This window comes from Homo sapiens, chromosome 9, assembly GCF_000001405.40.
Source record: "Homo sapiens chromosome 9, GRCh38.p14 Primary Assembly".
Taxonomy (NCBI): Eukaryota; Metazoa; Chordata; class Mammalia; order Primates; family Hominidae; genus Homo; species Homo sapiens.
In genome coordinates this window covers 74,343,440-74,371,419 of record NC_000009.12, presented here as the reverse complement: position 1 = coordinate 74,371,419, position 27,980 = coordinate 74,343,440, and the positions used below count along the sequence as shown (strand labels likewise).

General features: G+C 34.7%; 1 long non-coding RNA gene across 1 annotated transcript; it reads left to right on the top strand.

The window, feature by feature from the left end:
- Positions 1 to 2: 2 nt before the first annotated feature.
- LOC105376087 (uncharacterized) lies at positions 3 to 27,755 on the top strand. Its single transcript, XR_929947.2, has 4 exons — positions 3 to 86; positions 11,679 to 11,775; positions 25,725 to 25,893; positions 27,736 to 27,755. It is a non-coding gene; the product is annotated as an uncharacterized LOC105376087 (long non-coding RNA).
- The last annotated feature ends 225 nt before the right edge of the window (positions 27,756 to 27,980 follow it).

Here is a 27,980-nt window from a genome sequence, read left to right as displayed (position 1 = left end):
GCTGGGAGTGTGAGCACCTGCCTTTTTGAGCCTGAGAAACTCATAAGGAGAAGAGGGTTGAGAAAAGGCAGAGGGAGACACAACTGGTAGTGTTTATTTTTCTTTATAGTTCTCATAATGAGAATTACCTGTGATATACTGAATAATATCCTAGGTAACACATCACAGTAGATATGTGACATTCCTTATAGCTATACATAAGTGTTTTCCATACATGCTGATGACATTATACCACCATATGATGCAGTAGAAATAATTCCTTATAGTGGGAACAGGTAGGATAGAAATGGTTGCAGTTTAGATGTGTAGGCAACTGACCTAGCTTGCATATTTTAGAACATGGGACAGTTTGGTCTGAGTGTTCTAAAAACCTGTCCCTGAATCGAGATTTGTAAGACTAAATGTACATGTTACACAGCTCCAGATTACACTTCATAGTGATGCTTGAGTATGACTTTGATTTTGCCATTTCTACATAGACCCAGTATTACTAGGAGATAATCAAGTTAGGAATAAAGTTGCCTGATATTGGGGGGATAACTAAGAAATCTAGTATGAATGCATGCATGCTGTCTCTGCTTGGATATAATTATGCCAGGGGGCCAGGATTCTGTTCAGAAGATTGTTTCAAATTGGCTTCAGTGCCTGCACAAATGGGCAATAAAACCCCCAAGATATACTCCATATTATATCACAGAAATAATTATACCTGAAGAATTTAAGGCAAGTAAAATCACACGCTTGCCTGGACAAAAGTAAAATATCCATAAACTATCCATAAAATGCTAAGCTTTCAGTAGTGCTATTTTCTGGTGTACCCTCCAGAATAAACTGTGAGTGAATATGCACCAAAATAACTAAACAAGGTAATTCATTGTATGCGGTTGTTATTTATATACCAATTAAAAGTAATAGAATGGCTTCCAAAAATAACTACTTTAGTTTTAGAATAATTTCTCTGCACTCCCTTTTGGCAATAATCAGCAAACAGAATTGATGATTCAGGCCACAGTAGTATGAAATAATAAAACTATGCTGTCTTTATATAATAAAATATTTGCCTTTTTTGTGCCAGTTTTGCCTTTTTTTCTTAAAAGTAAAATAAGCTAATATTTATTAAGCCCTGTACTTACTTAAATCTCTTGACACCAATGACATAGACACTATCTTCAAAATGTTAAGTGACTCAGAAAAGTTAAGGGGTTTGTCCAAGTTATGCAGTTGTAAGTGGTAGATCTGGGATAATGAGGAGGCCTGAATTTTGTGAATCTAAAAGTGGATTAGAATTATTAGGAAACAAAAAAGAGAACTGCCCAGAATTTCTGCTTAGCACGGACTCAGGATCTCTGAGTTCAAGGTCATATGTGAGGGAGGTACAAAGTGTCTGTTTACCTTTTTCTCAGGTTGTGTTTATTTCATGGGACAAAGCCTATCAATGTCATAAGGTGAAGACTTCACAATTTTTTTTCATAATCTATCTCCACCTGCTTCACAGTAAATGAAAATCCCACTCATATTCTAGCATTGGGCTGCTGGTGGTATTGTTGGCTTTCACCCTCAACTCTGTTTTCATCTGTGCCCCAATGATAACTTGGATAGAGAGTATGTCAAGTATTACTAATTAGAGGCAATTGTAAATGGAAAGTCTTGTTTCATGGATTTTTAAAATGTATACTTATATGATTATTTACTTTTTCTCATATTTCTCAATTCTTAATTCTATCTTTTAAGGCCGAAATTCTAGTTTTATGCATTATAACTTTCAGTACCCTGCTCCTCCCCTACCCATACACATTCCATGTATAGTACAAGCCTAGAACACACATACACATACACACACACTCATATACTGTGTATACCACACCATCACACACATTTACATATACCTGCTTTCTTTTTTTAATATGTTGCAGTAGTCACACACAACTGAGCAGGATGAGAGGGCACAAAACATGGTGCTTCGTATTCCTGGAGCTGCAGCCTTCTGATGTTGAATAACATAATGAAAAGAGAAACATGGAAAGCCATCTTAGCAGTGCCTATAGATATCTAAAGTTTTTCAAGTCATTCGTCAATTCAGAGTATCAGAGACACAGGCCTATCTGTCAATATATGCTCTCTCTTGGGCACACTATGGGCAATGTGGTCCAAGGGACAGTTGTGTTCCATGGTTAGGTTTTCCTGTTTTTTTAGTATTTTGCCCATAGCATCCTAGAAGTGCCTTGTATCTAACCTAGACTAACCAAACAAAGATTCATTCATTTCTACCCATATCAGATTTGTTTTTGTTCCAAATAGGTCATAAGCATCAACATTTACAATTTAGGAACTTTTGTGAAAGTACATCCTGAATTTTAGATGACAAGAATGGAAGACGTCAATACTATATGCGGGAAAAAAAGAACTGAAGAACAATAGAACCCAGGATAGAATGGATTAGAAATGATTAACGTTAAAAAGGCAAAGAATATCTCTGACATATATATATCTCAGATATGTATATCTATATTTTCCATCATATATATTCTCTCTCTCTCTATATATATATACTTATATATATTTGTGTATCTGTTATATATATATATATATATATATATATATATATATATATATATATATATATATATATAAAATGGAATAAGACATAGGTAATTTGATAACTTGGGGACAGACCAGGATCTCTTTATTGCCTTCAATTATTAGAAATATTTCAAGTTTTTTCTGCCCCGTCAGATTATGTCTCATGTATTTGAATTGAAGTTGTGTTTTCTCCTTATCTTGAAAGATTTACCTTTATATTCTCCAGAATTTACTGAATGAGTTTTCACTTTGTTGATGAAAGTTGTACTTCCAAGAATTTAGCAGACAGTGGTGATGGCCTTGAAGGTAAATTACAGCAGCATAATTCTTTCTATCCAATATAGAATACCACATGATACTTTTTGTATGGTATAAGTTTGATTTTGAAAACTGTTATTAGAAATGAGAATAACACCATTTTTCTCAATAATTTTCCATTTTAAATTATTTTATTTGGATTTTCAGGGCATGTTTGTTGAGAGTGCTAAAATAGTGCAAAGTCAGTGCAAAAGTGTTTCAATAGCTAAAAAATTAAGTACATTGTTCATTTTTTGGTTTCTTGACAAAGGTATCAAAAATATATCATCCCTTCTCATAAAGGGACACATAGATAACCATAATGACAGATAGAAGTTCTCTAATCTCTGGCTTAAAATGGCAGGTATGGGCACAGAGACGAAATAGGATTTAGTTCTGCCTAGAAGAAAGAGTGGCAGAAGGAGCTTTGTGGAGGAGATTAAATTTGAACTGGACCTTAGAAGATGGTTAGAATTAGGATTTCCATCTAATGATGGTGAACTAAGTAATTTGAACCAAACTTTCTTATAAGGACAATTTTAAAAACTGCTTAAATCTTTAAAAAGTATTTTATTTATTTATTAGAAATCATAGTTTTTATTTTATGTGATTATCTTTATATTTAGACCCAATTATTTAGATAGATTAAGAAATGGCCAAGGATATTGATTTCATCTCAGTAAATTTTAGTCTGACTAACCACAAAATCTCATTTTGTTTTATATACTCAAACAAATGTATCTCTCTATATATGTGTGTGATGTATTTGTTTTTGTTTTTTTTTTTTTGAGATGGAGTCTTGCTCTGTCGTCCAGGCTGGAGTGCAGTGGCACGATCTTGACTCACTGCAAGCTCCACCTCCTGGGTTCACGCCATTCTCCTGCCTCAGCCTCCCGAGTAGCTGGGCCTACAGGCGCCTGTCACCATGCCTGGCTAATTTTTTGTGTTTTTAGTAGAGACGGTGTTTCACCGTGTTAGCTAGGATGGTCTCTATCTCCTGACCTTGTGATCTGCCCGCCTCAGCCTCCCAAAGTGCTGGGATTACAGGTGTGAGCCACTGTGCCTGGCCGTATGTGTTTTTTTATCCAACTTTTATTTTAGTTTCAAGGAGTACATGTGGAGGCTTGTTACATGGGTAAATTGTGTGTTGCAGAGGTTTGGTGTACAGATAATTTTGTCACTCGGGTAATCAGCACAATACTTGATAGGTAGTTTTTTAATCTTCAGTGTCCTCACACTCTCCACACTTAAGTAGACCTAGTGTCTATTATTCCCTTCCTTGTATCCATGTGTATTCAACATTTAGCTCCCACTTATAAGTGCAAACATGCAGTATTTGGTTTTCTGTTCCTGCATTAATGTGCTTAGAAAAATGCCCACCAGCTCTATCCATGTTGCCGCAAAGGACATGATCTCATTCTTTTTTATGGCCGTGTAGTATTCCATAGCATATATGTACCATTTTTTTAAAATCAAATCTACCATTGATGGGCGTCTAGACTGATTCCATGTTATTGCTATTGTGAACGGTGCTGTAATGAACATATGCATTCATGTGTCTTTATGGTAGAACCATTTATATTCCTTTGGGTGTATATCCAGTAATGGGATTACAGGGTTGAATGGTAACACTCTGTTAAGTTCTTTGAGAAATTCGTGACTGCGTTTCACAGTGGCTGGACTAATTTACATTCCTACCAGCAGTGTATAAGTGTTCCCTATTCTCTGCAACCTTTCCAGCATCTGTTATTTTTTTGACATGTTAATAATAGCCATTCTGACTGGTATGAGATGGTATCTCATTGTAGTTTCAATTTGCATTTCCCTAAGGGTTAGTGATATTGAGGGTTTTTTCATACACTTGTTGATCGTGTGCTAAAAAAAAGTATTTTTAAAGGAATCAGACTGTTAACAAAACTATGAAGACTTATCAAGTAGAAGCCAGGAGAAGATAAAGATCCAAAGAAGCAGCCATGGCATTTGGGTTTGTATTCCTGTTGGAAAAGCAGGTTGACATAGGTACTTGTCAATTCCAAAAGGTGTGGCTGAGAGGATGAGGGGCTGAACAGCACTAAATGGGCAATTATTGAAGCCCAGGACCAACAGGCAGAAAAACTCATCTTAGCGTAGGAACCCAAATGGGCTGCATCGTAGGAGTAAAGATGAATTATTATGCTGCCAGTGAACTTGTGCAAAGATTTTCCCAGAGAGTTAATGCCCATTAGTACTTGTCAAAAGCAAAGATAAATCCTCTCTGGAGAAAGATAACGGTCCAAGTCTCAAACTATTTTTACAAATGATTCATAAATAAAATATTTGGTACAAAATAAAAATAATCAGGCATTTAAGAAGACAAATTCACATGAAGAAAAGCCAGAATATACAGCAGATGAAATAAATAATGGATGAAATCAAATTAAGATAAAGTCTAAATAATTCCTAAGAGTTACTTATACATAAACACTAAAATAACAGGGATTATTAAGTTAAAAAGTAAAGATTCAAAATTTTAGCAGAGAATCAAATGAAAATTCTTGAATGGAAAAAAAAATCAAAATTTAGACCCCAATGAATAGATTTAATAGCAAATTAGATACAGTTGAACAGAAGAATTAGTAATCTAAAAGATAGGTGAGAAAAAATATCCAAGTGGAAGCAATGAGGTCACCAAGAATTAAGATACAAAATAAAAGATGATATAAAGAGAAGGTATAACATTCTTTATTTGGAGTCAAAGAATAAGACAGAAAAAAATAAGCCAGATGCATTTTTGGAAGAGTTAATGAGCAAGAGTTTTTCAGGACTAATCACAGATATCTAGACATAGATTCAAGAAACTATATGAAACTGAGGTGGAGAGAGAAATTCATGATTAGGCTTGTTATAATAATAAAATTGCTGAAAATCAAAGGTAGAGAAGAAAAAAACCTTAAAAGCAACCAGAAACAGGGAAATGGACTTTAAAGGAGCAATTCGTAGACAGTAGCTGACTTTTCCACAGAAGAAAATTAAATGATGCTTTTATAAAACTGAAAGAAAATAATTTCCAATAGAGAATTCTACATTCACTAAAAATATTCTTCAAAATGAAGGTGAAATAACCATTGTGGAAGACAGTGTGGCAATTCATCAAAGACCTTGAACAAGAAATACCATTTGATCCCGCAATCCCATTACTGGGTATATATCCAAAGGAATATAAATCATTCTACTTTTAAGATACATGCACATGTATGTTCACTGGAGTACTATTCACAATAGCCAAGACATGAAATCAACCCAAATGCCCATCAGTGATAGACTGGGTAAAGGAAATGTGGTACGTATATAGCATGGAATACTATGCCGCCATAAAAAGAAATGAGATCATGTCCTTTGCAGAGACATGGATGGAACTGGAAGCCATTCTTCTCAGCAGATTAACACAGGAACAGAAAACCAAATACTGCACCTTCTCACTTATAAGTCGGAACTGAACCGTCTGAACACATAGACACAGGGAGAAGAACAACACACACTGGGGCCTGTCGGAGGTGGGAGGGGGGAGGGAGAGCATCAGGAAAAATAGCCAATGCATGCTGGTCTCATTCCTAGGCAATGGGTTGATAGGTGAAGCAAATCATCGTGACACATGTTTACCTATGTAACAAACCTGCACATCCTGCACATATACCCTGGAACTTAAAATAAATAAAATAAAATAAAATAAACAATGAAGGTGAAATAGACATTTTAAATATTACATTTGTTGAAGTAGATTGAAGTAGATTTATCACCTGCAGTCCTACACTGAAAATAATACTATAGGGTATTTTTAGGTAGGAGAAAAATTATTTCAGAAGGAAATAAAGTGATGGTAGAAATGCAGGGCAAGACAAATTGTACATCCATGGGTTAATCTAAATAAACATAGCCTATATAAATAATATTAATGTTATATTTATTGTATCATATATATATAAGTAAAATGTAAATACACATAAACAAATACATTTCATTCTGCAAAGGAATTAAAGAACGCAGAAATGCTTGTGCTGCCCACATAGAGGGTCACATAACTACCTGTTAGACTTGATTGAGTCTAGAATACAACAAAATGTAAATAGATGAGATGCTCCAATTGTAGAACTGGTTTTTTTTTTAAATTCAACTCTATGCAGTTTAAAGAAGACATATCTAATACAGAAGGAGTCAGATAGCTTGAAAGGACAACACTGGGCAAAATGATTCCTAATAATTCCACAGACAAGCCAGGGTGGTGAGTAGTATATTTATAGCATTGTCTTAAGACTACAATTCACATGAGAGACAGTAAGGGAAGAGCCCTTTGTTAGTAACATTGTCTTTAGTGGACATGGTTTATAGGAAGAAGGAAGACTGAGAACGTTAATATATTAAGAAACCTTGTTCCTGGTACATTTATGATTGAGACAAAAAAGAAAGAAGATCTTTTAGTCCCTTTCAAGTGACTTGGTTGATAGAATTATAAAATACTCTACAGGACCAGTGAGGATCTGGGTATCAGTGACATTGGTGTCTTTCATAGTTTGTGTACTAGAGGAAACACAAATTTATACTCACATAAGGAAATCACTATGTTCCTCTGAAAATAAGTAAAGGGAAATGTTTACTATTATATTCAGCATGGCTGTTGTAATTATAACCCATTTGGTCAAAATTCACTTAATTGAGTGCAAATAATAAATGAAATAGCTCAAGAGGGTGATTCATTTATATCTAATTAAATAGACACACAAAAGTTGTCATGCACAATGATTAACAGACTTCACCCTTTGTTGATGTAAAGAATGATTTTTAAAAACTTTATTATCCACCTACTTCTCCACCCACAGGCTTGAGCTATTTCACTAATATAAAATTGTTAAATCTATTTTGTGTAATACTTTTATGAACTGTTTTTAACCACAAGGGATACAATAGAGTGCTATATTCTGTTACTTTTTACACATTTCTTTTTAAAAAAATTTTTCTCCCTTTGGTCAAAATTTTAATTTACCCAGTATTGCACGCTTTTCTTTTATGGCAAAGTTCATATCCATGAAACATTTTATTTAGTTCCTGGAGTGGGTAGCATTTGTTGATACAGTACATTTAGTTAATGAGACAATGATACAGTTAATTATCTGTAAGAAAACTCAGGACCAATATAAGCATGACCCTCCATTTATAAGTAAACCACTGCATAAATATTTATATTAGTCTCTGCAGTGTGACTAACGTTGGAAATTCATTGTACTTCTGAAGAAAAACCACTTGGAGACCTTCGAGTAGGATTTACTTTCCTGATCAATTGTTGATGAGATTTTAATCCTTGATAGTAGGAAGTAGTAAGTACAGGAGGGAAGCAGAGGAGATGGGGAGCAATTTGCTCTCATAGAGAGGCTGGCAATCATGGGCTGGGATGGGGAGAAGGCAAGCCGAAAAAAGAAACACTCAATATAAAATTAGAAAATTATAGATGAGAGTGGGGAAATCCTTGTTTAAATAGAAGATACTTTGTGTTTGGTTAAATTTATTTAGAAGGATAATGTAAATTTAAGCCATGCTCAATGCATTTGGGGGAAAATATATGAGATAGATATTTTTTCAATGGGTAGGAACAAAGTAGCAAACTGAAAAACTTGTCTTGCTTCAGGGGTAGTACCATAATCTGTAACAAGCTTGTTGTTGTGGCAGTGTTTACACATTACTTAGGGGCCTCGAGGTCCTAGAAATTACCTGAAGGAGCATGGTGGCCTCCAGGCAGAGTTGCTGAGCTTCCTATGTTGTGTCAATCAAAAATCTATGAAAATATGGCCTCTCAAAGTCCCATGTGATAGGGCAGAAGCCTTGGAAGAGCAGTTTTATCTTCCACAACGATCAAATTTTACAGGGCAAAGTGGAAAGGAAACCAAGTTATGGACACGCTGATTTGACATCTGTGCTGGACAGCACCCCCAGCTCACTCTAGGCTAATGCTATTAATCTGGGGATTGTTGGAGAAAAGACCAGCTCCTCAAATCACTTTGGACTTTGAAGTGGAGAACTTGTTTATGAAGGAAAAGAGCCTAATTATTTAGGCAAATTCAACCAGGAACTCAGTAGTGATTTTGGGAAAGAAGCTTATCTCTTTATTCAAATGCCATTTGACCCATCCAGGGTGTCATTGTCTTATACTTAATGACTATATTAAGAATTTGAATAAAACGGTTATTGCCACATTATGTGGGTGTAAAATTACGAATGAAGGAAATTGAAAACACATTTTTAAGGTCAAGCCTTGATAAATTTTCTCTTTGCCTTTAATCTACGGACTCATGACCTAAAATTCCATTTTGCTCATGAGGTGTTTCATGTTACAGATCGTTCCTGCCTTCTGGAGCTTTTACTCCTACAAATATTACTAGCTTGTATATGATAGATACTTTTGTTTATAATTTTGGTTACTTCCGCAAATATAAATAGGTGACTCAGTCTCTTCAAAAGAAACATTTGGGAGTCCTGTGGAACACAAGCCACCGTTATGTCATCTCTTACTTCAGCATCCTTTGTGGAGGAACAATTAGGAAGAGAAGTAAATCTTGTGTGATTGTTTGCCCAACAGAGAAACGTAACTGGAGTAGTATAAGATATTTGACTGTATCCATGGAAACCTTCTAGACTACCATTCTTAGATTTTGCTTAGGCTAAAGCAGGTGACAAGGTTCACAAGTTTTAAAAATGTTTTTGAGGGGGGATGGGGAGCTATTACTCAGTGATGACAGAAATCTGATAGTTAAGGAAGGTTCTAGCCCTTAACAACCAGGAAGCAACATATAAATCCCAGGTGTGTGTCAAATGTGACTCAGGTAATGATACAGGCAAGTCACTCTCTTACTTCACTAGAGAAATGGCATAGTTTCAAGACCTGCCCATGCTACACTAATCAGTATCATCATCACCACCATTTTACAGTCAAAAAGTGCTATTAACTCTACAAAGCAGTTTCGTACTAATGATATCTTTGATTCTCACAGATAAGCAGACAGATAGTACTACTGTTCATTTTATAGATGAGGAAATCAAGGCACCTAGCCATTAAATAATTTGCTTAAAGTCATATAGCTAATTAGTATCAGATCAGAGCCTCTTCACCATCAGACTTGGGCTCTTAATAGCAAAAATTTTAAAATAAGAAATCAGCATCCTAATTTATATCCTATGCAACAGCAGTGAAAAATATTAATGACTTCAGCAGAGAGTGCAGTAAGAGCTGGATTATATAAATATTTAAGAATAAGCTTATCCTTCCTGATTAAGGTCTTTTGTAAAAACTTTTGAAAACAATATAGAATTGTTGTTTTATTGTTTTGAAAACAATATAGAATTCATATGCTCTAAATATAAGGTAAAATGCATCAATGCAGTGGCATAAGCTTTCAGAACTGCAGAATGGTGAACTCAGGCTAAAAAGATATGATCTACTAAGATTAAATGATAGGCACTTCACTGTTTCATTTTTATGTTTTAAAATACAGCTTTGAATGGTCTAAGTCCTTATCAGAGTAAGTCTTTTCTGTTCTAGGTGAGAAAGCAGAAAATACATTTGATAGGGAAGACAAGGTTCAGTTTACCTTGTGTTGGTCAATGCCACGCTTAAGTAATTGCCAATAAATGTGTTTTGATCATTAAGAACATGTCTTCTTGCTAAATAACTTAAATTATATTTGAAATACTTGCTCCAGACTATTGATTATGTCAATTGTGTGAGTCAAGAAAACTACTTAACTTTTGTAGGTCTCTCAGTTTCCTCACAAAAATCAGGCATTGTCCCAGTTTATTTCCAAATTCAATTTCTAGTACACAACTTGACTAAGGGCTAAAGAATGACCCATTTGCTTTTCCTGTAAAACTTGATTTTATTTTCATTATCTCTTACAGGTGAAGAGAGGGCATGAGGGGAACCTGCCACAAAACTACTTATTGAATAGTAATTTTTCTGTGTGTGTGTGTGTGTGTGTGTGTGTGTGTGTTTTGAGACAGAGTCTTTCTCTGTCACCCATGCTGGAGTGCAGTTCTTACCTAATCAATTGTCACAAAAGGATAATTGTATTTGTTTTGGTTTCATTTTGTTTTTTGTTCTATTTTTCTTGTTTTGTTTTTCTTTTTTTCTTTTTTGAGACAGAGTCTTGCTTTGTCACTCAGGCTGGAGTGCAGTGGCGCGATCTCGGCTGACTGCAACCTCCGCCTCCTGAGTTCTAGCGATTCTCCTGCCTCAGCCTCCTGTGTAGCTGGGATTACAGGTGCCTGCCCCCACACACGGCTACTTTTTGTATTTTTAGTAGAGATAGGGTTTCACCATGTTGGCCAGGCTAGTCTCGATTTCCTGACCTCAGGTGATCCACCCGCCTCAGCCTCCCAAAGTGCTGGGATTACAGGCGTGAGCCACTGCCCCCAGCTGAATTGTAATCTTTCATTTCCTCACTGTCATATTATAAAATAATACCTTTAAGAATTTTATTCTTCATTCCATTTGACCCCAGGCTGGTTTCCTATCCTCACTCTCATCCTAAGTGCAATCATTGCAATGGCTTTGCTGTTGTATTGGTTCTAGATGAGGTAAAACATTGCCAGAAATCTTCAGAGAGAGACCTTAAACTTCTAAGCCTGACAATTTGATTTTATCCTTATTTTATCCTTTTGGTGCATTTTAGGAAAGAGAGCGATGGAAAGAGAAAAAAAGAGTTTTTCCAAATATGCGACCCTTAATGAGACTATTCCATTTTTCCTCACATCGCATTAATTGTTTTTAATTTTTCTAGTTATCTTGACATTCATGTCATATGGAAAACTGAAGGAGCAGAGGGAGGCATTTATTTCCAGAAGAGGTCAGAGAGCATAATCAGGGGACAGAGACTAGTAAGTAATCAAGCATGCAGTACACACTTTCATTAAGGCCCATGTGTTACAAAACCACAATATTTTAATATTCTGGTTCCTGCTATTTATGCTGAAGAGGTTGTGTTAAGGTTTATTTTAGTTAAATTTTACAAAGGATAAAAGTGTAACATTTTCAATCTTATTAGAGATGCAATGTGTTATTCTAAGTTTCATCTTCATTTACACGAAAGGAAAAAACTCCTCTTGATTAAATAATAAAGAAGTCTGATTGTTTACAGAGCCAAGTAACAAGACTCGATTGTGTGCCATGAACCAATCTCTCCGTAAATCCAGAAATTCTTATCCAACTTAATGATGGCATCTGCTGGGAGGAGAAAATTTCCATAGCACATCTTTGAAACAACCCCAAATCTCATGGAAACAAGCCAGGAGACAAATTTAAATGAGTGTAATCCTCTAGGAAAGATACACTTAGAATTTTTCTCTTAATGGGAACTTTGTTTGCAGACAGTGAACAGTCTACCCAGATAACGCCAACAACATCTGCTGCTGTTGGTAAGAACTGACCTCTTAATCATGAGCTATTCACATCAAAATGACTGCAGGCTGTTGGAAGGAACAACATGAGTTTTCTTCGAGATGCCCCTTTCAACAGTATCACACAGACCGAATGCCAAAATTATCTTTTACCTCTTTGTTTTAAATGCAATTTGCTAAGACAAGGTAAAAGGAACACATGGAACAGGGAAGAGGACCAGATCAATCAAGCGAGATGAAGGCGATCTGATTTGTCTGGCATCCGCTCTGGAAGAGTAATGCTCTGGCATGCCTTTATTTCAGCTTAGATTTGTCAATTTGAGAGAATCGTCTCTTTCCTCTCTCCACTAAGTCCATCTTTACTGTGACTGTACCAGCTGTTTGTTTTGATTATAGGATGGTAGACACCAGCTTCCTGACCATAATGTCTGTGGGAAGAAGAAGGACATAGGGGCAGGGAATAGCCATCCTTTACAGGTTAAAGGTCCTTACATTTAAATCTCTGTCTCAGGACATTGAGCTGATAGCATATGACTTATATGTCATATAGTTGGAGACTTATGCTATTCTATTTGCTGTGATCCACAGTGGTTCGCTTTATTTTCAGTTTGTTGCCATTTAAGGTAAAGCAACAACATAAAAATACCTTTCTGTTGATACTTACGGCTAACTTGGGAACTATATCTCTTGATCCAATATTTTAGGTTATTTTATGTTATCAAAATCTAGTGTAGAATCAAAGAATTTGAAGGGACCTTAGAGCATTGAGTCCATCCTAATCTTTTTATAATATTCTTGACAGAAAATCGCCATTCTTGCTTGTATATTTCTAGGCATTGTGTATAAGCTTTTCTGTACTGACAGTAGTGAAAAACAAAAATTTGCCTCTAGGTAGTTTCTACAGTAATTTTTTTTTTGAATCTCTGTTCTACAGAACATCTCTTCAGATAAATGGAAAAAATAAAGCAAAACAAGAAAAAGCATTTAACTATTGCATCCTTCCCACACCGAGTCACCTTTTCAGGACTATAAAGTACAGATTTCTTCTGTGATGAGGTTTCCAGATCCCTCTCTGTCCTGGCTTTCTTTATGCGCACACAACCTAGGATAGCTAGGTGTATTTTAATGTGTATTACAAGGAGAGCAGAACATAGCAGAGCTGATAGATATAAAGAACTTTAGAAAGGAAAGGAACATCCACGTTTTACAAAATAGAAACGGGGCCCAGAGAAGCAATGCAAACTGTTCCATGTCATAAAAATAGTCTCCTCTCTCCCAGAACAATGTGCTTTTCACTTTTTTCTAGACTGAATTGCTGATTAACTAGATAAAATGCTTCAGATGTTATCTGATCAGCCCAGAGCTGGGGATCAAATGCATTTTGCTCTATTAACAACCATACTATTTGGCTGTTTGTTTTATAGTATTTATATAAACTGTAGTTAAACTAGGTCTTGTATTTACTCTTATGTTTTATCTTGTGTAGCTTAGCCAGGGTACAAACTTCTCAGGATATTTTTGAGTCCTAATTCTTTCATTTCATCAATACCTTGTCTACTACTTTTTGACTCATGCAACTGTTAATTCTCAGAATGCTTTCTATGTCCTTGTTCAGATTATTGTTAGAAGTATTCAGCAGGACAGGGACAGAACCAAAATGAAGCCAAAAAACAACAGAGAACAAACCTGTTTCATTCTATTGCATCTAGTTCTAGATTGAAAATTAATTAACCAAGATATGTTGGAACTGTTGTTAAATCATGCATGTTTATGCTTGATTGTGTATTCACACATATTATGTTTTCCTCCTTGCCCAAAAACATTTTATGAAGGCCCTTTTGCAGATGCCTTACTGGAATTAAGACATTGTTTAAAATCTGTTAACTCCACAGAAAAGGAAAAGGAGATTATTGTGAAATGATTTATCCTTAGTAAATTCGTTAGTAAAGGAAAGAGATCTTTCTTTCCTATGAACTCACTAATCTTCTGTTTAGTAACTTAGTCTAGAATTTTGCCCGGAATTGATAAAAATTCATAAATCGTTGATAATTTTTCTTTTTGAATGTTTTTGAAAATCAGGACATTTCCTGGACCTTACCTGTTCATGAATTCTCAAATATTGTAGTATTTTGGAGATTATATGTGCAAATGCTTAATAGCTTGTTATATAAATGTAATGGACTTAATTCTGAATGTATTTAAAGTTGTTTGTTCTCTGTTACAAACTAATTCTTGGTTTCCTTTTATTGATGTATTCCCTGACATTTAAAGAATTTTTAAAAAATTAAATACTAAGTAAATAAAAAAGAACCCTTATAAAATATGTGTTAGTTATAAAGACAATGACATAAAAATATCCATGTACATAAGTGCACTTTGAGCATGAGAACATTTCCATTAACCATGAAGTCCTTTGTGTACCCTTGCCAATTCCATCTCCTTCCCTGCCCCTCAGAAAAATACTGCCATATTGGGAGGCCGAGGCGGGCGGATCACAAGGTCAGGAGATTGAGACCATCCTGGCTAACACAGTGAAACCCCGTCTCTACTAAAAGTACAAAAAATTAGCCGGGCGTGGTAGCAGGCGCCTGTAGTCCCAGCTACTGGGGAGGCTGAGGCAGGGGAATGGCGTGAACCCGGGAGGCGGAGCTTGCAGTGAGCCGAGGTCGCGCCACTGCACTCCAGCCTGGGCGACAGAGCGAGACTCCGTCTCAAAAAAAAGAAAAAAGAAAAAAGAAAAGAAGAATACTGCCATACTAACTCCCCCTTCCTTGAAGATATTATTCTGTTTGTTCCACAGCTTCTCACTTATGGTGTGTCCCCTATTCCCCCCGGCATCAAGATAAGCAATTTTCTTTATATTCCCCTATTGAATGCAGTGCCAGCAGTCTTACTTTTTATTTACAATTATGCTGAGGGCTTTGAGCTTCGGGAAATTCGAATGTAAGTGTATGTCTGTTTCCTATTTGTCTTCCACCTTTACATACTTTTTCTGCATGCCTTGAGGACTGTGAAAAGTTCATTAGATCTCAGGAAATCCCCTCATTTTAGTCAGAAAGTGGACTTCTGTGGGCTTTGCTCATCTCTCTGGATTCCTGTTTGCTCTTAGTTTTTGACACAGATGTGTGTGTGTGTGTGTGTGTGTGTGTGTGTTTGTGGGTGAGTTTTCTATGTCTTATTCAACATAAGTCATTTTCAGCAGAAGCATTGGTCAGGAAATGAAATGTGCTCCACACTTTTCAGTTAGAAGGTAATTCTTGATGGGGAAGGCAGAATAAAAACAGGAGTTCAGTAATTCTATTATTCAATTAATATCACGTCTTTGTGGCCCTACCTTCTGCTTTCATCATAGCTGTTGCCTTAGAATTTTTTCCCAGGCCTTTGTTGATCCTCACATTCTACTCTTGCTCTTATACTTAGTTCGGATCTGTATTGATATGTATTGTTTTCAACCTCATAATTTCTCTCATCTCTTAGAAACTTTTATCCTTTAAACTCTTTAGAAATGAGGTCATAATTATCTTTACAGTGATACAGCAGAGTCTCAGAATCAGAAACAAAATTTCTAAGAACTTGCATAAAATTAGTTTTTTTATGGACCTTTTTATGGACCTTTTATGGACCTCCTTTATGAGAACATCTTGGTGCCATATATTGTGGGAGTCATAAAGCCTTCTCCGGCTCATTATATAGCTATACAGAACATAAGCTCTGTCCTCTGAAGCCAGTGATTGCTCATTGTCCTGGGGAATACTTCTCAATTGAAATGGGATATCAACAGGTTTAATGGGATTTTAGGACAATACAGTTAACCAAGCTGACTCAGCTTTTTAATGCACAGTTGGATTTCATTGAAATACTTAGAAATAGACTTAGATTTATTTAATCAGGCTCTTTCCTATAAAAATAAATGATGGGTAATTATTATTCTTAGTATCCTCCAAAGACAGGATGGGATCAGTGAAGATATAGTAAGTGTCTGAATACCTCTTCGATATGATGAAAATGATTTTTGGTGTATTCTGCCAGATTCAGATTCTGAATGTCACTGGAACTCCTATGAGGAATGAGAGAATGTGAAGAAATGCAAACAATCTAGTATTCATCATACAGGGATCTGTTATCATCACCTCGAGTTTGTAGGGTGTTGGTTGTGAGAAAAACGTTACACTTTGGCTGTAATTGATATGAGCATTGGAGTATAGTATTTAGACTGACCTAACATTTGAGCAAGTATCCCCGGTCCAAAACCAGTTATGATACATTATCCAATCGAGTGATATTACATAAGACTTAAAGAAGAATTGAATTATTGTTATTTGTAGATTTTTTCACAAACTAAATTAGAAGCAAAATTTGATTAACTTTAACATCTATAAAACTAGATGTAGTTAAAAAAACCCTTGACATGAATATATTTTATGTCTGTGAATACATGACTTTTATAGGATATTCAAATTAAACTATCCTTTCTTACTCTTTGTATTTGGAAATTTATATTTATTTTAATCTGAAATTTTGTTGGTTAGTTTTGCAAATCTTACTGTGACTTGAAATTTTACAAGTAAACTCGCATCTGGATTTTCCAGTGTGTATTATTTATAGATTAAAAATAATCTTGACTTGATGTAAATTTTATGAAATTTGTTTAAACATCATTGGCAGGCTAAGCTTGTTCACAGATTCCTATTTCTCATATATCATTTTAGAGGAGGTTATATACATTAGGAATATGAAAATCCCTAAGTTACCGTTTCCAGACTTAAAGAAACTTAGAGTGTAACAGGGGAAATAGAAATGCTTGCAGATGATGTAGGGAAGAAAAAGAAGGCTCAGGTGAGAACAAAGAGACCTGTTTATTGTCAAAGTCCCAGGTTGGAACAATTGCATTATGGATTGTATTGCTTTATAGTCCCAGTCTTAATTCCAATATGGCACTTTTTCTTGAGAGACTTGTTCAAGAGAGTAAGCCAGTGGATAAACCATGGTAAATCATGTTTCAGTAATATAAGTGATTTCAACCTATTTGTTGTCTGAAGGATAGAGGAGAAGAAAAGAAAGAAGTAACACTTGAAATCTGGTCTCTGTAGGGAAGGAGTTCAGTAGAACATAAAACATCCTTCAGAGGTTAAATGCTGAAGGAGACATGCTTTCTTATCCCTTCAGTCCTTAACTGTGTTTGTACTTGTGGTTTTCATGAATAAAGACAAAATCCAGATTAGTATGGCTACCCTAGTTTGAACGGTAATTCTGCATACTTGCTAACTTTCAATAATGATGGGAATACTAAATTAAAAGAAACAGACAATCTCAAAATATATTGCAATATTTTATTTTCACTGGAATCAAATTTTAATCTTTGCAAGTAGTAGAGAACAGCAATTTGAAAGAATTGTGTCTAGTGGCAAAATGACTTTCAAAGAGAACAGAAAAGTTTTTCTTATTGCAAACGAATAAGACTTTAAATACTTAGTTTTTGATGCTTGCAGAATAGTAGATATTACATTTAAACTCTTTGGTAATTTTATAAGTGGACAGATTATGTTGTGTATTATTTAATTTCCTAAATTACTAATGAGATAATAAATCTATTGACCATTTGCTTGTTTTGAGAAAAATCTATTGCTTATTCATCTACTTGGCTTCTTTTCTTTTTGAGACAGTTTAGACTTATTTTATTATATATTGTTATTTCCCCAAACATATATGGGGAAATAACAATAGACTCTTTTTATTGTTGATTCGTAGAAAAAAGACATCAGTTTCTGGCCATGGTAGAATAACAGGGTATCAATATATTCTGTCTATAAACAATTAGAAAATTGTACAAAGTATAAGAAATAACTATTTTCAGATATTGAATAGTTGTGATCCTTAGGAGAAGAGAAACAAGTGAGGCAAGCCTATGATCACCCCTTCTTTCAGTCTAGTGACACATTCTGTATCCTTTCTCCTAAAGAAGAGTTGCTCAACAGAGCATGGCAGGCTTGCTGAAGTGAAGAGGCAGAGTTTGTAACTAAGGATGGCTGGGACATTCGAAGTTGTTTTGGAAGGAAGAAGCTACTGAGAAAAGCTTTAGTAATCTGGATAGGGATTTCTTTTTCAGTCGTTGCTTAATACTAAGCTTTGTGAAGTTGAGCAAAGGATGACTGAGGAACTATAAGCTGTACAATTCCCAGAACTCACACAGAGTGGTGAAATGATTAATCACCAGTCACCCAGAGTAGAGAGTCCTCATTCCATACCGAGAGAAGTAGTGACCCTGGTAGAGTGACACAGTAGTAGTAGGTCTAAGTTATCCCTAAAATAAAGGCTACTTCAAAGCATGCTAACAAAGCTTAAAAATAAAGCTTGAAAAGAGCGAACTGAACCGTAAGTGATTTATCTGCCTTCCGAAATGAATTTCAACAACATTTACAGAAAGACAACAAAATCCAAACCCACAATAGCATATGACTGCAAATTTCAGCATCTGAGCAGAAATATGAGACATGCAAACACATGTCTATTAGATAGTAGAAAAATCAGTCAATAGAAAGAGACCTATAAATGACAAAAATGATGGAATTAGTAAAGACCCTAAAACACTAATTAAAAATATGCTCGTATGTTTAAGCATTTAAAGGAAAACATGAATATAATGGATACATCAAAAAGAACTCAATGAAACCTGTAGAAATTACAAAAAAAATTTGAAGTGACAATTTTACCATATGAGAATAACAACAGGTTAGAAACTACAGAACAAATATCAACATATCTGGGGAAATAACAATAGATTCTATGCTAACTAAAGTACATACAGAAAATGATTAAAAATACTTGACAGTTAATGAGTATTGGCAAATACTGATTAACCTGCTGCACAGTATGTGGAAGATACAGTTGCAATTGTAGACCTAGGGAAAAGAGAGAGAAAAAGGCAGAAAACAATGCTTGAGTAAATAATGGCTTAAAAACTTTTCAAATTTGATAAAAACAATAAATCTAAGAACCCTATAAATCCCAGGCATGATAAATAGAAAGAAAACACACACTAAGACACATCAAAATCAAATTGCCAAGAGCCAATGATGAAAAGAAAATCATCCAGGAAAAAACAAAAATGAAAACACTGTGTACAGAGGAACAAACATAAGATTGACCACATTTTTTTTTCAGAAACTCTGGATTCCAGAATATAAAATGACAATTTTAAAGTTGTTAAAGAAAAACTTGTCAATCTAGAATTCTATATCCAGGGAAATTATTTAAAATGATGGCACTAAAAAGGCTTTTCAGAAAATTGAGAGCTGGGCAGATTTATTGCTAGTAGCCAAGCTAGATTATATGTTAAATGACACCAGATTTTAATCTGAGTCTGTATAATGGAATGAAGAGTATCATACATCGAAATAAATGGGCAAACATAAAACAAAGATTTTTATTCTCATTTTAAAATATTTTTAAGTTATTTACTGCTTAATACATTATGACTAAGTAGGGTTTGTCCCAGGAATGTAGGATTGTTGTAACATTCAAAAATTAATTTAATTTATCATATTATAATAATTAAAAAAGGGATAAAAACCATGTACTTATCCAAGAGATGAAAGAAAAGCATCTGGCAAAACTGAACACCCAATAATGATAAAAACTCTCTGCAAACCAATATTAGAAGTGAGCTTCCTCAACTTTATTAAGGGCATCTATAAAAACAGTTAACATTGTACTTAAGGGTGAGATATTGAATACTTTCTCCCCAAGACTGGGAACAAGACAAGAATACCCACTCTTCTCCAAAACTTTCTACCAAAAACCTAATTCTAACCTAATTCTAAATTCTAAAATTTAAGTGTAAAGGCAAAGGATCTAGAAGAGCCCAATGATTCTAAGAAATCTTCCAAAAGTTGCTGAAACTAATAAGTGAATGCGCAAGTTCATAGACACAGGATCAATGCAGGCCAGGCGCGGTGCCTCATGCCTGTAATCCCAGCACTTTCGGAGGCCGAGGTGGGCAGATCACCTGAGGTCGGGAGTTGGAGACCAGCCTGACCAACATGGAGAAAACCTGCCTCTACTAAAAATACAAAATTAGCCGGGCGTGGTGACGTATGCCTGTAATCCCAGCTACTCGGGAGGCTGAGGCAGGAGAATCGCTTGAACCTGGGAGGCGGAGGTTGCAATCAGCTGAGATCGTGCCATTGCACTCCAGCCGGGGCAGCAAGAGCGAAACTCCGTCTCAAAAAAATAAAATAAAATAAAATAAAATAAAATAAAATAAAATAAAATAAAATAAATAAATTAAATTTAAAAAGTTGCATAGTAACAACAAACAATTGGAAAATGAAATTCAAACATGTAATTCATGATGTAAAAAATAAAATTCCTGAGAATAAATTTAACAAAGTATGTTCAATATCTATACACTGAAAACTACAAATCATTACTGAGTAAAATTAAAGAAGGCTTAAGTAAACGGAGGGATACGTTGTGCTAATGGATCAGAAAGCTCCATACTGTTAAATGCTGATGTGCCCTAATAGATCTATAGATTCAATCAGTCTTAAATAAAATCTCAACAGGCTTTTAAAACAAGTGTAAGATGAAAACCTAATTCTGAAATTTACGTGTAAAAGTAAAGAATCTAGAGGAGCCCAGTGAATTTTGAAAAATAGCAAATTTGGCTTTCAAGACTTACCGTAAAGCTGCAGTATCAATATAGTGTGGTAATGGCATATAAATAGTCATATATATCAATGGAACAGAATATAGTCCACAAATAGACCCATACATATATGGATAAGTGATATTCAACAAAATGCCAGGATAGTTCAATGGGAGATTGAAGAGTCTTTCAAAAATTATGCTGGAAAAACTGGTTATCCATGTGGGGGGAAACAAGAAACACAAACAAGAACTCAAAATGGACCATAGATCTAAACGTAAAAGCCCAAACTATACAAATTTTAGAGAATAACATAGGAGAGAACACGTTGAAACCCAGTGGTAGGTAAACTTTTATGTTACACAAATATCTTATGAGAACTCTAAAATTTAAAACAAATGTTGATTGAAACTCATCACAATTAAAAACTTCTGGGCCAGGTGCAGTGGCTCACGCCTGTAATCCCAGCACTTTGGGAGTCTGAGGCAGGCGGTTCAAACTGAGGTCAGGAGTTTGAGACCAGCCTGGCCAACATGGTGAAACCCTGTTTCTACTAAAAATACAAAAAGTAGCCAGGCATGGTGGCACGTGCCTGTAATCCCAGCTACTTGGGAGGCTGAGGCAGGGTAATTGCTTAAACCTGGAAGGTGGGGTTTGCAGTGAGCCCAGATCACACCACTGCACTCCAGCCTGGATGACAGAGCAAGACTTCGTCTCAAAAAAAAAAAAAAAAAATCTCATGCCCTTTGAAAGACATCGTTAAGAAAATGAAAAGGCAAGCCCCAGACTGTGAGAGCGTATTCACTATACATGTATTGACAAAGGAGTTACATCCAGAATATATAAAGAACCCTTGCCACTCAATAACAAGAAGACAAATCACTCAATAGAAAAATTATCAAATGTCTTAAAACAGGCACTTCACAAAAGAAATATATTGATGGTCAATAAGTACATGAAGTTATGTTCAACATCATTAGCTACCAAAATGATGCAAAATAAAATGACAATGAGATATTAGTACATACACATTAACATGACTAAAATTAGAAAGACTAACAATACCAAGTGTTAGCTAGTTTGTATAATAACTGGAACTCTCATATATTGGTGATGAAAATGTCCAGTTATAAAACAACTTAAATAGTTTAGATATTTCTCATAAAGTTGATCATATTCCTAATATATGACCTAGCCATTCTTCTCCCCAGATGTTTACCTAAAATAAATAAAAATATATGTCCACACAAAGACTTATACAAGAATGCTTCTAAGTTTTACTTGCAATATCTGAAAACTTCAAACAACCCTAATGTCCGTCATTAGGTAAATGGATAAACAAAATATAATAGTAAAATATTATCTGCAATAAAAAGAAATGAACTACTGATAAACACAACATGGATGAATCATAAAAATTCAGAAACCAGACATAAGAGAGTATATACTATGTGATTCCATATGTGAACATCTGAAAAAGATTAATCTGATTTATGGTATCAAAAAGCAGATTAGTAGTTGCTTGGGGCCGGGGTCGAGGAATGACACCAGGATGGGGAGATGATTAACTGGTAATGGGCATAAGGGAACAATTTGGAGGATGGAACTATGTCTAGAATATAATTGTGGTTGCAATATTCATAGCTTGACAAAACCCACTGGACTACACACACTTAAAATTGGAGCATTTGAAATTATGTAGCTTATACCTCACTAAAGCTGATTTTTTTTAAAAAAGGATAATCTTTTTCCTTTAATCATTTGTTTGCAGTAATTTTGACATACAGAAATTCAAATTTCTACACAGTCAAAATATATCAATCTTTCATTCACAGCTTTCGAGTTTTGTGTCATATCTAGAAAAGCTTTCCCTGCACGCTTCATACAAAGGCCATTTAAGGGAGTGTTTTATAATGCATCTTCTGGCATCGGATGCCATCACGAGACTGTTTACACTTGAGCAAGTTACTTAATCTATCTATTCTGTAATTTGTTCATGTTTAAATCTGTGCATGAGTACAGCTTCTACCTTAACGATAGAAAGTGACAAAATGCAGGCGAAGTAGTTAGAGTACTAATGGGTACATTGGAAAACTTAACACGAGCTATTTTTATTATCATATTTTCTTAGAGTGTTTTTTATTTGAACTATTACACATGTTAAGAGAAGTATAGAAATTATAATGAAGACCTGTGTAGCCACTACTCCATTTGGTCAAATCTTAATTTAATGTTCTACCAAATTCATTTAGGATGTCTTAACTTTAAGAACTATGGTTAGAATTGAATCCCTCTTGGCACTTTTTGATGCTCGTCTTTTATTATACATAGATTGATGCTCCCCACCCTAAGATCACCTCACTGAAATTTGTGTGTATTTTTCTTGTCCATGTAGTAAAGTGGTACTATATATTTTTAAGTATTTAAAATCTTATGTAAATGGAATACCGTATGCATTGTTATACAACTAGCAATTCTTAGTGACTATAATAATATGGTTGAAATTTATCTATGTTTGTATATTTTTAAGTAATTTTAGGCTTTTATTTTCCATGTTTATGTCTCTAACCTATCTGGATTGTAGTTTACTATACAGTATGATGTAGGAATGTAATTTACTGTACTGTTTAAAATGGTTAGCTGGTTGTTCCAAAATCATGTGTATAATACAATCTTCATTTTTCTTGTAGTTTTGAAATTGTGCCATTTTATATTCTGCTATACTTAAGCATATATATGTATTTAATTATATTTCAAATATGTTTAAAATATTGGGCATGTTTCTTGACTTTCTCTTCTGTTCCATTGATCTATATCTTGAGTTCCATTACATTGCCACATTATTTCAATTATTTTAGCTTTTATATAATTATAATACATTTATTATATTTATGTTTGTGTACATATACATTGAAAAATTCAGTCATAATATTAGTCAGTTTTTAATTTTAAGATTTATAATATACAAAATAGAAAGATAATTATTGTTATAGGAGAGAGTATAAACATGAATCCTGACAATTTAAAAATAATATTATAAGTAACACTTTTGGAGGAAAGGAAGACTGGTGGAAGGAAGTTTAAGGGTGTTACACAATACTTATTTTTCTAAGTAAGGGGCCAGTATGTTTTTCCTAAACTTACTTAATCAAGTAATGGAAGTCTAAATGTATTAGTTTAAGATGTAAACAAACAATTACAATTACAAGCAAACAATGGGGAATTAGAGGAAGAAGTGGAGGAGTGATGTATATGTACTACATGTTTTACCTTTTAAAGGACTGTCAACTTGCACACGCATGTTTATAGCAGCAGAATTCGCAATTGCAAATATATGGAGCCAGCCCAAATGCCCATCAATCAACAAGTGGTTGAATAAATTGTGATATATATATATATGATGGAATATATATATACACACGATGGAACATGTATATATGTGTGTGTATATATATATGATGGAACTATATATGTGTGTATATATACGACGGAACATATATGTGTGTATATATACGACGGAACATATATGTGTGTATATATACGACGGAACATATATGTGTGTATATATACGACGGAACATATATGTGTGTATATATACGACGGAACATATATGTGTGTATATATACGACGGAACATATATGTGTGTATATATACGACGGAACATATATGTGTGTATATAAACGACGGAACATATATGTGTGTATATATACGACGGAACATATATGTGTGTATATATGATGGAACACATATATGTGTATGTATATATGATGGAACACATATATGTGTATGTATATATGATGGAACACATATATGTGTGTATATATATGATGGAACACATATATGTGTGTATATATATGATGGAACACATATATGTGTGTATATATATGATGGAACACATATATGTGTGTATATATATGATGGAACACATATATGTGTGTGTATATATATGATGGAACACATATATGTGTGTGTATATATATGATGGAACACATATATGTGTGTGTATATATATGATGGAACACATATGTGTGTGTATATATATGATGGAACACATATATGTGTGTGTGTATATATGATGGAACACATATATGTGTGTGTGTATATATGATGGAACACATATATGTGTGTATATATGTATGATGGAACACATATATATGTGTGTATATATGTATGATGGAACATATATATATGTGTGTGTATATATATATATGATGGAATACTACTCAGCCATAAAAAGAAATGGATTAATGGCATTCACAGCAACCTGAATGGAACTGGAGACTATTATTCTAAGTGAAGTAACTCAGGAATGGAAAACCAAACATCGTATGTTCTCACTCATAAGTGGGAGCTAAGCTATGAGGATGCAAAGGCATAAGAATGATAAAATGGTCTTTGGGGACTGGAGGGAAAGAGTGGAAGGGGGGTGAGGGATAAAAGGCTACAAATTGGGTTCAGTGTATACTGCTCAGGTGATGGGTGCACCAAAATCTCAGAAATCACCACTAAAGAACTTACTCATGTAACCAAATACCACCTGTTCCCCAAAAACCTAAGGAAATAAAAAAAACTTTAAAAATGAAAGACTGTCAATTCATACTATTCGAAGTGGCTATGTCAAGATATAGTTACATTGGTAACTACCAGAACGTTTAGAAATAGAGTTTGTTAATAGTAATTATCTGTAGAAAATGAACTAGAGGTTCAAGAAGAGATTTCTCTAATAACTTTTTGTTTTTAAAGGGGCTAGTCTTAATTTTAATTTGTTATATTTTTTCCTTAGAATATTTGGCTTTCTTAGAAGACTGGGTTTTTATTAAAGAGGTGGTTCTCCTTTCAAATTAGTCTTATGTCTCCCAAGAAAGACATCATGGGAATGTCAAGATTGATCCATTAGTATCTTTTGTCTGTCATCTAAGTGCTGCTCTTAGGATGATTAGAGTGTCAGAAAGGTGAGTTGTTGAGCTTCAAGGCCACCTTGATAATTCTCTTGATATTATGCCAATTTCCTCTTGTTTGATCCTCTATCAGTTATTACTGAAAATAAATTACTTCTTTAGAAACACTGTTGCCTGATTGAGAAGTCTGGCTGCACACACACCTATTTTAAAAAGTCATTTCTTCTTTGGCCCTTTACTCACTGAAACTTAAGACCACAAAGTGACATTATCTCCCAATTCTTGATCTAGTCATTTGTTGACTCCTCTTTCCTTTACTAAAAATCCGTGAGAATTATACCTTTTCTCACTTAGAGTTCCACTGCTAATGCCTTGGTTTAGGAAGCCTTAAGAAGTTTAGGTAAACTCATCTTCTATTAGAACGAACTTGTTGGTTAAGTTCTATTTTGGCCCATTTGACCTGGAATATTGGGGTACACCACACAAGGGGAAAGAACAGCCCCAAGTGATGAGGAAAATAGTAAGAGCTATGGAAGCATATTTTAAAATCTGATAGAATCCTTAGATCATGCTCCACAGTGACCAAGTATTATTTTAGAAAAATGGCTCATCAAGATCAAAGAAAAAAAGTTCTATTACATATTTTTAGGGATTTTAGAATCTATGCTTGTAAACAAATATTAGTTTTTTGTTTTCAAGGTTTTGGACTTTCTGTTTCTGGCCATTGGGGTGTAAAAGGTTACATGTAGGAATAAGAAGGTATTTTGATGTATTGGCCAAATTTGCTTTTTAAGTTTTAGGGGGAACTGCTGTCAAGCTGCCCAACTAAAATGATAAGAGTTATTTTATTCTGATTTTTATATAATTTCCTGGCAAGCAGAAAATGATCTGTCTTAACACTTATATTCTTCCTGCCAACACGTATGCAGTATGTTTGGACATATGGTCTCATTTTTATGATCTTTTAACCTTTATTTCTTTTACATACCCTGTGGCAGAGCTAATCTCTCATGGGACTTGAATGCCAGGGAAAGGTCCCATCTGGAGCCTCTGAAAAAAAAAATAGGATTGCTTTTGTGAGGGAAAACTTTTAAAGATAGACACATTCATTTAAATGAAATAATTTTAGTTCAACCCTTGATTATCTTAACCTGGTGGCTTAATATTTAGGAAAAAATCTATGGGAAAAATTTCCTATCTCTTCTGTGGGGTTTAGCATTATTAAAAAAAAAAACCCGACAACAACAACAACAGCAACAACAAAAAACATGTAGTAAGCAACTTGTGCTGCCAACCAACCTTGGCTAGAGAACATTCTTTTAAAGCTTTGGTCCTAGGAGTTCAGAACTGTGTTTTCACAAACAGGTGATGCATCAGCTAGGAAAATGTGTTGCCACAAATGGTAGGAAACCCCAAGTACCAGTGGCTTAAACAAAATAGACATTTAATGTTTCTTATGGAAAACAAGTCCGGAGTTGTGCAGCTCGGGGACTTCAATGTGTTGGCTCTGCTATTGTTACAGTGTGGCCTTTGCCTAAAATAGCTTCCGGAACTCCAGCCATTACATCGGAATCTCAGATAGTAGAATGAAGGTTAAGGACCTTCTGCAGTAAAATCTTGATGAAAAGTAGTAATGGAGGCTGTCTTTGCCTCTTTCCTAATCTTGGGGAATATTTTAATATTCTTTTATGTATAATGTTTACATTAGACAAAAAACTTTCAAAATCAAATGTAAGACTCTTTGTATTTTTACTCTACTAAGTTTTAAATTATGAATGGGTATTGATTTTGTCACATACTATTTTTTGCATTTATTGTGATATCCAAAATTCATCTTGCATATTGATTTACGAAATACATTGGTTTCTTCTTCTTTTTTTTTTTTTTTTTTTTGAGACGGAGTTTCACTCTTGTTGCCCAGGCTGCAGTGCAATGGCACAATCTTGGCTCATCACAACCTCCGCCTACCAGGTTCAAGCGATTCTCCTGCCTTAGCCTTCCGAGTAGCTGGGATTATAGGTATGTGCCACCACACCAGGCTAATTTTGTATTTTCAGTAGAGACGGGGTTTCTCCATGTTGGTCAGGCTGGGCTTGAACTCCCGACCTAAGGTGATCTGCCCACCTCGGCCTCCGAAAGTG